The sequence below is a fragment of the Homo sapiens genome, chromosome 8 (assembly GCF_000001405.40).
Source record: "Homo sapiens chromosome 8, GRCh38.p14 Primary Assembly".
NCBI lineage: Eukaryota > Metazoa > Chordata > Mammalia > Primates > Hominidae > Homo > Homo sapiens.
Genome location: NC_000008.11, coordinates 138,386,099 through 138,399,209, shown reverse-complemented (window position 1 = coordinate 138,399,209; position 13,111 = coordinate 138,386,099). Strand labels below are relative to the sequence as shown.

General features: G+C 44.4%; 1 protein-coding gene across 13 annotated transcripts in view; it reads left to right on the top strand.

The window, feature by feature from the left end:
* Positions 1 to 13,111, top strand: part of FAM135B (family with sequence similarity 135 member B) — a 367,708-nt gene that overhangs the window by 98,521 nt on the left and 256,076 nt on the right. The window lies entirely within an intron of this gene.

Here is a 13,111-nt window from a genome sequence, read left to right as displayed (position 1 = left end):
GGGGATGCTATTATTAATTCAGCTAGGAAGCTAGGACACTAGATATTAACTGAGACTGTCCCAGGGAAAAAAAGGCATATGGATTAATTAGAATGATGCAATGCTATGAGAACCCTAAATCAGGGGTCTTAAAAATATATATTATTATTCTTACTCCTGTTATTCTTTTATTAATGAGAAGACAGGCTAATTTTGCATAAGCAAGGTATTGTGGTAGAATGAGCTCTGTTCTAGAATCCTAATGGTCTGGATTCAAGTCCTGATTACAGGGTTATATTCGTCTCCTGGTCAATCTTTGAGCAAGAGTTTGTCAAATAATTTTCCAGATTCTGTATTAGGGGAAATAGAGGCTGGGAAGGGGCAGGTAAGGTTGAGGACTAAATATATATGAAGACCGAGTATCTCACTACCTTCTTGTTAGGGTCTGACCGCTGACATCTCAATAGCTATTTCAACATCTTTTCATCATAGGCTTAAAACCATTGCCTCAACATTGCCTTAAAATTAGTCGATGCCCCCCTCTTTGGAGGAATGCATCTCAACCTTTCTGTTCTCTGCTCCCTATGCCACTTCCTCCCACATGCAGCTTCTAATGTCTGCATTCTTTCCAAATCAAACTGTCATTGCACACCCAGGGGTTGGGTCTACAGGTTGATGAGCCAAACCCTTCTCTCTGGAGTGTCTGAATGTGGCTGATTTCTATTAAAGCCCAGGGCTCACTCTTCCGTGCACTGTGTGCATCTGTGCCTGGTTCCCCGAGGCCTGCAGGGGTGGGAAAGGAAGGTAATAAGGTTTTGACTTGTAAATTGAGCAGATTTAATATGAAATCATCTGTAGAATATCTGCTATTTTTAGCAACTTCCTTTTGGCTACAGGTACACTCTTATACCCTTGAAAATCCAGTCACTGCCTCCTCTTTCCTCTTGGTCTTTTTACCTGCACAGACTGAATGAGCCCCTCTGGGGGTCAAGCACCTTGCTGGGGAGTCCCACGCATGGTGCCATAACTCCTCTGGGCTCTGATGGGTGCTGGGTGGTGGTGCCATTTCCATTTTACAGAAGGCGTGAAGCAGCTTCCCCAAGGTCACACAGTCTTTGAACAGACGAGCCAGGATGCAGGACCATGGCCTCCCTCTGTGTCTATATCATCTGGGACCGGAGGGAGTTTACATTCAGAAGGTCCAGGAGAGCTCCCGCTGCCCTGGCTGAAGGTGTGCAAAGGTGCTGGAAGCTGGGGTGCACTTTCTGACACTGTGAGAACAGATGTGGTGTCAGGAGAAGGGAATCTCCACCTGGCTGGTCAGGCCACTCCTAGAGGGGCATGAATCCTTCCTTGCAGGCACACCAGGGCTGCCCTGGGCAAGGAAGGGATGGCGACACCTTGTTCTCCAAGGCTGGAGGACCCGAACATGAGCCATCACCAAAGGAAAATGTTCTAGGGACGGGAGCTCTGACTTCAAACTCCTGGAGCTCTGTCCATGGGAGAAAGAGGCTTAATCTGTGGAGTCTATGCCAACATGTGGAGCCCAGGGAGTGGCAGGTAGCCTTGATGTCACTGCTAAGATATAAGATGATACAGCTAATTAATAATATGGATAGCTAATTATTTTTAGAGTCAACAGCAATTATTTTCACTGAGTTATGGGATGTGTGCATAACATACTACAAGTACGTATGCTATTAGAGATGAAATTTAACTGAGAAGAAATTTACATAATATGAAATCAACTATTTAAAGTGTACAATGTATTGGCATTTAACGCATTCACGATGTTGTATAACCATCACCTCTGTGTACTTTTAAGACATTTTTATCACTCTAAAAGGAAACCTCATACCCCTTAAGCGGTCGGTGTCCATGGCCCTGGGCTTACCCATCCTGGACATTTCATACACATAAAATCATGCAACACAGAACCTTCTCTGCTGACTTCTTTCACTTAGAATGATGTGTTCAAGGTTCATGTCTGTTGTGGGTGGTTTTGTGCCCTGGAATCTGGCTCCAGATTTCTGTGAAACATTTCGTCTGTCACGGAGCCCAGCCTTCCGTAGGCTCACAGATGCTTGTGATACCTGAATCTACTAAAGCAGCTCATCCGGTTCTTGGGCAGCTCAGGACTGGGACTGACTACCTGGTTAGGTGGTTAACTGCTTTACAGCCTGAGGGATGCACACCTGGCTCCCATCATTGCTAGCTGTGGTGTTGGACAAATTAGTCAAGGAACCCTGATTTTATACATTTTTTAGTTTGCTTCCTTAGACTCTCTAGTTCTGTGATGGAATGAGCCACATTTGTCTTATGGATACATAATTAGGGGCACGTGTGTCCTTTGAAGCAGAAGCAGGTGCTGTCTGGGGATAGGTCTAGGGGAAGGTAACCAGATGGGCTTCCTTATTTGCAAAGCCACACAGGCTGCTCTGTGCGTGGGGAGATGGGGCCAGTGGAGTCAGTGGCCCTGCAGCTGTGGGTGAGGTTTTCCTGAGCGAGGTAAAGTGAACAGATTAAAAGACTTCAGGGAAGATCTGCATCCCAATTATTAGGCACTTCTCCATGTACTATTGGCCAGATGTCTTTCCTGCCAGGGGCTTCAATGTCCTTACCTTTAATCATTGTTGTTATACACACAATTGCTGTAAAATTTCGATCAATAACTAAACACATCCATAGACAAATATTTATCAGGCATTCGCTCACAGATGCCAGGAGGAAGGACAGAGTGAGCCTGCTATGCCTTGTCCCCTTTTCACACCACTCTTGCCCTGAGTCATTGGAATTCAGTGGATCAGATGGAGCCTGAACGTCATCAAGAAGGTATTGACGGAGCTTTATATGGGCTTTACAACAAAGCTGGGAAGTGGCTGTCAGTGTTCTCACTGCATCCCTTTTCCTTCTTTTATTCACTCTTTATGTCTATGCAGCCTGCCACACGCTGGCCACTGCTTTGCTCCATGCAGACACGGTCAAGGATGTGCACAGGGCTTACATTTCAGTGGGGAAGACTGCAGCAAATGGGGCCCTCAGAGGTTCTGTACCCCAAGGCCACAGAGCCAGTAAGGGGAAGCGCTGGTCTTCTTGTCCTGGTCTCACCCCAAAGCTCATGCTCTTTCCAGGAAGAAAAGATGTGCTTTCGTTACACAGATGGGTAAATTGAGGCACATAAACAGGAAAATACTTGACATAAGTTCACCCCAGGGAAGCCTGGTGATGAAGGTTACAACCCTGATGCCCAGACTCCTGTTTGTAAGATAGCAGCCGAGTAATTCATCCATTTGTGGAACATGTGCTATAACACAAAAACTGTTCAAGGGAGTTTGCAGATTATTTTAATCACCACAGACATATAAAGAAGGTAGCTATTATTCTCGCTTTGCAGATAATTAACAGCAGAGACCATGAAGTTAAACAATGTGCCTAATGTCCTACCTTTGTTAAGTAGTGGAGAAGTTGTCAAAACTAAGGTCTTTAAGAGTCTAGAATCTTTCTGCTTTCTGCCCCCAAAGTACAGAGATTGGCAATCCTCTTTTACCTTTGCATATCCAGGGCTGAGCATATTATTTGGCACATAATATGTGGTTGATAAATATTTTGCATGGGACACTTGTGCCCAAGGAGACCCACTTGGGACCTAGAAAGACTAAATTAATCCCATCTTTGCACAGTTGCAAATCTGTAATCTAATAGGGCTGTATCTCAGAGATGTTAGGAGATAGTGCAAAGGTCACCCAGGTGGTAAGTAGCCGATGGTGGATACAGACTCAGGTGTCTCAGTTTTTCCCTTTCCCCCATAGCTCCTTTGGTTCTGTAGCTCTCTGGCTCACAGTGGAGAACATCTGCAATGCAAACTAGGAGAAGACCTCCATAACCAAGCAGGTGCGGCGTCTCCCAGCCAGGCTCCTGCTATTTTGGGGCTGGCAGTTCTGCTGGGAATTCCTCAGAGGACCCAGAGACTGTGGAGGGGCTACAGAGGAGAGATAATGACAGGGTTGTGCAGGCAAATTTATTATATAAGTGGAGACATTTAAATATAATTAATGTAACTGCAGTCTTATTAGATAAGTAGCACTTGGGATTCAGAGCTTGTTTCTCTCACAGGCGTGGAGAAAGGCAAAGGCATTAACTCACTGCATTGGCAATGACCCACTGGCCAGCAGGGGCTGGGTTAAACAGAGTGCAGTGGAAAAGGATGGAAACAAGGAGAAAAATGGAAGTCAAGAGAAGGGACACAAGTGACCCAATCATGTCCATTAAATGATTTGCCTCTGATGGCTGTGTGTTCCCCTCCCTTTGGCCCCTGAATCTGTCATCCTATTTCCTGAAGCTGCTGCTTCCTTACGTGTACCCAGCTGGCAATTAACTCGAGTGCTGCTGCTTACACGGACAGCTCAGTTGCCTAGACCTAAGCTGGGATCTGTCTCCTTCCACCAGTAGCAGTGGGTCCCAGGACATCATAGTCAGTCTGAGCCTGTGTCTTCAGTAAAGTAGGAACACAAACTCACACAGGCCTGTTGTGGGGTCGAGAGAACTCATGCAGAGGACTCAGAACATGGGAGAGACTCCACACATATATGACATTCACGGAAGTCAGATCACCAAGGTCACCTGCCTCAGTGAAATGAGACCACCACAGGTAGAATAACTGGTCTAAAGCGCTCTTCGAGTTTGCACAAGAGCAGGCAGTAGAGTATATTGGCAAGACCTGAATAATTAATTAGTCTCACCATCCTGGGTCCAAATCCCAGCTCTAACTCTGTTCTCTATTACTGGCTAAGAGACTTAGCCTACCTAAACCTCTGTGCTCTCATCAGTCAAATGGGGAGAAGAGTGACTGCTCTCAGAATTAATGGGGGATTGAAGGAGATGATGTGGTACAGCACATGACCCAGTGCCTGCCACATGTAAACTTGATAAATACTGGCCCATTATTATCCAGCCTCAGCTCAGGAGCTGGTGGCCCATGGGACAAACACACCCTGCAGGCAGATTTTGCATGGACTCCAGAGGTTTTGAAAAATGTCTAAATTCATTCTCAACATTGATATGAGGGTATGTCCCCTAGGAAATTAGTGATCTGTCTTCTTCTGAGAAATAGACCAGGCACCCCCAACTTTGCTGAAGGACCACAGTCCCTGGGACTCAGGGGTGCTGTCCTCTTAGTCAAGGCACAGATTCCACAGCCCATCACATGAACCAAAGTGTCCTGTTTGCTCAGGCATGCCAGCTGCTTGGTTCCCAACTGCCCCCAAACCCCACTTTATAAAAGAAGAAACTGAGGCACGGGGTTGTGGCTGGCTCTTAGGCATATGGAGTGCTTGTGGAAGGCCTGGGTTCCAGATATGGGTGTTACAAATCCTCGATCAGAATGTTTGTTCTGTCTTACTGTTGGTCTGTCCATCCATCCCCTCAACAGGCTTTATGTGGCACACACTGCCCAGGACCTCAGCATCTAGGAGAGACTCATGCAGAGATCATGTGAAGGAGCAGAGGACAGTGGGGGTGCTAAGCATGGGCTCCGTGAGGGCAGGAAAGTAAACTGCCTGAAGGCTCCAGCCTGAGACTACTGCAGTTATATTTCCATTCAGCATTATTATTGACATCTCTATAACTGTTTCAGGCAAAAAGGGCTTTTCTGTTCATGCATCTGTACCCCTCCCCCAGCCCGTAAGCTAAGCTGCAGGAAGTAAGTTCACTCTGCACAGAGAGGACCTAGCACCATTTATGGCACATGGAATACTCTTAAATTTTTTTTTTTTTTTTCACTAAAACAGTGTCCTAGAGTGTATCCCCACCTTGGAGACTGACATAAATGCCAGCATGTTAAAGTTTGTGAGAAGTCCTATAGGAGCAAAGATTACCCTTTTAAATCTGGTGATTCCAGAATTTTTTTGAAATTGTCACTTGAATTTTTTGAAAGAGTCACTTGACTCTGTTGGGAAGAAACACCTGATGTGGTTTGGCTCTATGTCCCCAACCAAATCTCATCTTGAATTGTACACCCATAATTCCCACGTGTTGTGGGAGGGACCCACTGGGAGATAATTGATTCATGGGGGCAGGTCTTTCCCATGCTGTTCTGGTGATAGTAAGTCTCATGAGATCTGATGGCTTTATAAGGCAGAGGTTTTCTGCACAAGCTCTCTTTGCCTGCCGCCATCCATGTAAGACGTGACTTGCTCCTCCTCACCTTCCGCCATGATTGTGAGGCTTCCCCAGCCATGCAGAACTTTAAGTCCAATTAAAACTCTTTCTTTTGTAAATTGCCCAGTCTCGGTTATGCCTTTATCAGCAGCATGAAAACAGACTAATACAACACCGATTAAGGAGTATTCTCAGAACACAGTCTGGGAGGTAGTTTCTAATTCTTCCCCATAGGCTGGAGTGGAAGTACAGGGATAGAGAGACTGGCAGGAGGAAGAGAAGCCCCTGAGTAGTGGTCCCTAGCTCCTGCTAGGACCCTGCTGGACTAATGTAATTCCATGCCCCCGGCACAGTTGAAAAAGAGTAAAAGAGTACCTAGATGCTCAGAAGACACTAAGTTACTTGTCTAAGGTCACAAAGCTCAAGGGTGGAGAGGATTTAAACTCAGGTCTAATTCTAAAGCATTGTTCTTTTTTCATTTTGACTTAGAAAAATCCCGACAGAGTAGCTAGACTCTGTGACTTAAAGGAGAAGGTGAGGGGGTGGGGAGAGGTGGACAGGTTGATTGCAGTATTCACAGTGATCCAAGCTCCAGAAAGGACTTTTGTGGGTCTTGGGGACCTGCAACAAATACAGGATTTACTCAGCTCCTGCTTTAAAATATATCCCCCTCACTTTTCCCTTGCAACTGCTGGCTTCATTCACACTTTAGTGTGAATTACTCCAATTAGCTATTATCTTCACAGGAAGCAAAGTGCTACTTAGTCTTCTGGCCTGGAGAGTTCCCTGAAGCAAGCCTAGAGATACATGCAAGTTGGGAGTAGAAGCTAGATTTGGGTGGGAGGGGCTCCCGGGCCTGGGGCCAGAAGATGCAAGAGCAGTTTGCAAAGGCAGTTTCAAAGACTGGAAAGGGAAATGTTTAGTCAAATGAGATGGTTACATTCCAGACGTTATCTGAATGTGTGACATTCAACATGCCAGGTGTTTCCATATGTTATTTGGTTCCATGCAATTAATGAATTAATATTGAGTCTTATGCCTTACCCTGCCCTACCTCATGAGCTAGGTGCTCATCTGACCTGTGGTCAAAGAGGTGAGAGAGACCCATCCTCCTCTAGGCAGTGTTTACTTACCTGGAGACCAGATGGCCTAGTGATGAGCAGCTGGGGATCACAGCCAGGCTGCCTTGGTTCCAATTCCGCTTTGTTACTGATTTAGCTGTGTGACCCTCAGGCAAGTTGCATAACCTGTCTGTGCCTCATAACCTGTCTGTAAATGGGGATGATGATAATAATACCTACTGTATGGAGCTGTTAGGAAGGTTAAATTAATTATATACAAACCTTAGAACAGTGCCTGACATGGAGGGAATGCTTAGTAAATATTAGTCTATGTGATCATTACAGTACAAGAATGACTAAGGGAAGGTTAGACACAAGCTTAGGTGGTGCAGGGGTGGATGGCCCACCAGCTAGCCTGCTCCTTTCAGAGGGCAGCTGGCTTGAGAAGTCATCTGGAGGGAGAAGTAGGTGCTTGCAGGTTGAAGAGCTTAGGTCAAGGCCAGAAAAACCCTGCAGGGCTAGGGAGGAGCGAATTATGAAATGGCTTGACTGTTCTGGAAACCAGGAAGATCTATGTGAGGCTGGTGGATGGGAGAAGTGGATGGAGAAGCTGGGAGGTGAATGGAGGTGAAAGGAGGGAGCTGGGACTGAGGGGAGATCATGCTGGAGGATAGGGGAGAGGCCAGTCCTGGGGGCTCTGTAGCCCTGGATCCTCCTCTGTAAAATGGGAATAACGCCCCCCACTGGCAATAAGACAGTGTAAGTGAGCAAGCAGCAGAGGGGCCTGCCACCCTGCATTTCACCAGTCTCTCTGATCTGGGACCAGAAACAAGGAGCTCAGCCTTAATGGGAGGACAGGGATTCCAGGGCTGCAGGGAAGGGAGCAGTCGGGTGGTGGTGGGGGTGGTGGGAGGCAGCCCCTGCACTTGGGAGCAGGGTGACTCTCGGGTTTGGAAGTGATCTGCTGCTGCCCTGAATACTCCCATTCTTCATCTTGGGAAGTAGCTTCCTGGACGATTCATCCTCTGTGTACCTGGAAACTTTTGCTTTCCCTGGGTAGCACCTGTTGCGTCGTGGTACGGTAAACAGTTGCTTCCTATCTTCTCCAAAGTGTACATTTCTGAAGGGCAGAGTTTCCAAATTGCAAATTTGCTATCCCCAGAGCTCAGCTCTGCTTCTAACACTGCCATAGAGTGCTGCAGAAGGAGACAAAATGGAAAAGGCCTGTCTAGAGCTGACCGCATCCCCACCTTCCTCTGCCTTCTGCTTTTGCTCTCTGTACACTAGAATATCAGTGATGGATGGACATGCACACATTTAGTGAATGGCTGATTTCTTCATTAGTGAACACAGCTGTGTTGAATGAGGACTTATTTATTCATTCAATTTCCATAAATATTTATCTTGTACCTACTCTGCACTGGAGATACAGTGGTGATAGGACAACAAGATAAAGTATAGGACACTATATTAGTCCCTTTTCATGGTGCTGATAAAGATAGACCTGAGACTAGGTAATTTATAAAGAAAAAGAGGTGTGATGGACTCACAGTTCCATGTGGGTGGGGAGGCCTCACAATCATGGCAGAAGGCAAAAGGCACATCTTACATGACGGCAGACAAGAGAGAATGAGAACCAAGCAAAAAGGGGTTTCCCCTTATAAAACCAACAGCTCTCCTGGGACTTATTCACTACCATGAAAACAGCTGGGGGAAACCGCCCCTATGATTCATGTGAACCTCCCACCAGTTCCCTCCCACAACACATAGGAGTTATGGGAGCTACAATTCGAGATGAGATTTGGGTGGGGACAAGGCCGGGCGATATCAGACACCCAGTTAAATGTGCATTTGAGACAAAGAGAAATATTAGAGTTTTGAGTACAAGTATGTCCCCAAATATTCCATTATTGGTCATATTTTTATTTGCTAAGTCTGGAAATCCTAAATGGTGAACAAGATAAACAAGGTTGGTTCTAATGGGTGTTTGCAGGCATTAAACATAAATACATAAGAACATACACATGTAATGATTAAGTGCAAAGCAGATAAGTACAATAAGGCATCCTTATTCTGGCAGCTATTTCCTAGGCCCTCTAACTACTTTAGGGCTGACTTGTTCAGGAAGGGAATTTCCAGAAGAGGGTAAGAGAGAAGGACTTGATTTCGTCCCCTTTTGTGGTGGTAAAACACACATAACACAAACACAATTGGATCCATTTTAAAGTGAACGATTCAGTAGCTTTCAGCATATCCGCAATATTGTCCAACTATCACCACTATGCAGTCTCAAAATATTTCATCATCTCAGAAGGAAATCTTATTTGCATGAGAAATCACTCTTCATTCTCCCCTTTTCCCCTAGCCCCTGTCTGCTCTCTGTCTGTATGGATTTGTCTTGGTCAGGATATCTATTATGAATGAAATCATACAGTGTTTGTCCTTTTGTGTTTGGCTTCTTTCACTTAGCATAATTTTGCAAGGCTCATCTGTGTTGTAACATGTATTAAAACTTCACACTTTTGATGGCTGAATAATATCCTACTGCACGAATATTTTTGATTTATCCATTTTGATTTATCCATTTATCAGTTGATGGCCATTTCCTTCATTTCTGCCACTTGTCTATTGTGAATAATGCTGCTACGAACAATTATTTGTGTAAAAGTTTTTGTTTTAACAATGGTTTCACTTCTCTTGTGTATACATACCCAGAATGGGATTGCTGGGTCGTGTGGTAATTCTAGGTTTAATTCATTGAGGTGCCATCAAACTGATTTCCATATTGACTGTTGCATCATTCCATATTCCCACCAACAATGTATAAGGGCTCCAATGTCTTTACATTCTTGTCAGCACTTGTTATTTTCCATTTAAATTATGGCCATCCTAGTGGCTATGAAGTGATATCTCATTGTGTGTGTGTTGTATGTGAAAAGACTTTATTTTTAAGAGCAGTTTTAGGTTCACATCAAAATAGAATGGAAGATACAGAGATTTCCCATTTACCCCCTGACTCCACACCTGTATGACCTTTCTATCAAGATATTTCAGAGGGGGGATATATATATATAAAACAAATAGACCTACACTGACACATCATTATCACCCAAAGTCCACAGTTCACATTGGGATGCACTCGTGGTGTTGAATACTCTAACATTATATGGGTTTGAGCAGAAGTGTTGACATATATTAACCATTGTAATGTCCTACTGAGTACTTTCACTGCCCTAAGAATCCTCTGTCCTCTGCCTGTTCACTGCTTCCTATTTCTTAAATCTTTGGTCACCACTCATCTTCTTACTGTCTAGGTTGTTTCATCTTCTACAACATCATATATTTGGAATCATATGGTATATAGCATTTTCAGATTGGCATTTTTTCACTTTACTAATATGCATGTAAGGTGCCTCCATGCCTCGACATGGCTTGATAGCTCATTTATTCTTACTGCTGAATAATACTCCATTGTCAGGATAGACAGTGGTTTATTTATTCATTCTCCCACTGAAGGATATTTGAGTTGCTTCCGAGTTTTGGTAGTTATGAATAAGCTGCTGTAAACATCTATTTGCAGGTTTTTGTGTAGACATGTTTTCAACTGCTTTGGGTAGGTACTGGGGAGCACAATTACTGGATCTTATAGTAAGAGTATATTTCATTTCATACAAAACTGTCAAAATGTCTTCCAAAGTGGCTATACCATTTTGCATTCCCACCAGCAGTGAATGAGTTTCTATTACTCCACATGTTTGCCATCATTTGGTATTGTTAGTCTCCTGGATTTTGGCACTTCTAATCGACATGTAGTGGGGTCTCATTGTTGTTTTCTTTTGCATTTTCCTGGTGATGTGTGATGTGGAACATCTTTTCATATGCTTATTTGCCATCTGTGTGTCTTTTTGTGCTGAGGGGTTTGTTAAGGTCTCGGCCCACTTTTTAATCGGGGTATCTCATTGTGGTTTTAATTTGCATTCCCCTCATGACTAATGATGTTGAGCCTCTTTTCATGTACCTGTTGGCCATTTGCGTATCCTCTTAGGAGAACTTTAATTTTATTAAAAGGGTGATAGGAAGCCAATGGGATTTTGTAACCAGAGAATTGTGTGATATGATTTTCATATTAATAGATCCTCTAGCTTCTGGGTAGAGGATGGAGGAGGCAGGGAGACCACTAGTGAAGGTATTTTAGGAGTAGGGAGAGAGATGACTGGGACTTGAGAGTAAGTGGTTCATGATTCTGTGATTATTCTCTCTGGCACTGGGTACCTGGGTATACCATGCCACCCATGAACCTTAGTAATCCCCTCTGTGGAATTGGGTAATAACAGCGCTGTGTCTAGGATTAAGTGGGACTATGACTTTGGAGAACCTACTCTGGGTGTGGCACATAACAGGAGCTCCAAGAAATAGGAGTCCCAACCCTCAGCACTTTCAGGATAGGCTGGGTCTCAAAGTCCAATGGGAGAATGTGAGGTTCTGGATTCATTGATGTTAGGTCATCTTCTTTCTGCTGGTCTGGAGAGAATGAGCAAAAGGAGAAAAGAGAGGAAGGTGGGGTGGAGAGGTGGGCTTATCTGAACTGCATTTGCTTCTTTCTCTATATGTCTACTGGATGGACTCCCCGTCATCTCAAATCCACACAGCACTAGGAGGCGTGTGTACTGCTGGAAGTAGGTAGCTGCAGGTGGCTGCAGGGAGGTGCTAATCTTGTGAGACCTGGACCTAGTTCAGGTGTTTCCCTTTAGAGCCAGGACTTAAGAAGTCTGGCCTGCTCTCACCTCTTCCCTCCCTACTCAGCCAACTCCATAGTACTTGGCTGGTCTGTGCAACTATAATGTTAATTGCCATCATTTAGTGAACTGTTTGCCATTTTTCCTTAATTTCCAAATATCAAATAACACTTTGTATATGAATACATATGTCAGATTAAATGGGAGATAAATCTCACAGATACTCAGCTTTTATAGGGCTTGGGTCCTGTGGGGCAGTCCCTGTGTCCCTCTATACCTTCAAGAGATGAAGAAATGATTGGGCCCCTGTATGATCCTGTGGCAGGCGTTCTGTATAGGCACCATATAGCACTCATTGTAGTGTATGATCATTATCTCGTCATACTTCCCTGTCTTGAACTCCCGTCTCATTCATGCCTGTCTCCCTAACACCCAGTTTGGCGGTTGACACATGCTTGGCCTTTCATTAATATTAACATTTGCTCACGGATTGAATGAAGCAGCGGTCTCATCATGACCAGGGAGGTGTTTGTCTGAGCAGCCTTTGCTGAGATATTGATAAAGGAAGATTGTTTTAAAAAATTAAAAAGCATAAGTTCATGATTAATTCATGCCAAAAATAGGTTGTGCATTGTCATTTTATAAAGATTAATATCTAGGCCAGTATAAAGTGTAATAAAGTGTACTACTTCAAATTCATTCTATACCACAGTTGAAGGCAACTCCTAGAATCCCTAATGCTGTTGGGACTTCCTTCATCTTCCATTCTTTTCTTCCAGCCCTCCAAGACTCTAGCACAACTTGGGCCCATGTCTTCCAAGAGCTCATCAGCTCCTTCTTTTCACTGGCTAGGGGCATCGTAACTCAGTTTTTTCTGTCATGGAACCATCAATAGTTTTATTACCTGGTGGCTTGAGGGAACTGAGGCTGTCTCCTTCTCTCCTTCAGCATCAATTTTCTTCCACAAAAACATGGATATTTTCATGTTGATATGTGAGGTTAGGTTGTTGTTTGGTTGTTTGTTTGTTGGTTTTTGTTTTTGTTTTTTTTTTTGTTTTTTTGAGATGGAGTTTCCCTCTTGTTGCTCAGGCTGAAGTGCAATGGTGTGATCTCAGCTAATTGCAACCTCTACCTTCCAGGTTCAAGTGATTCTTCTGCCTCAGCCTCCTGAGTAGCTGA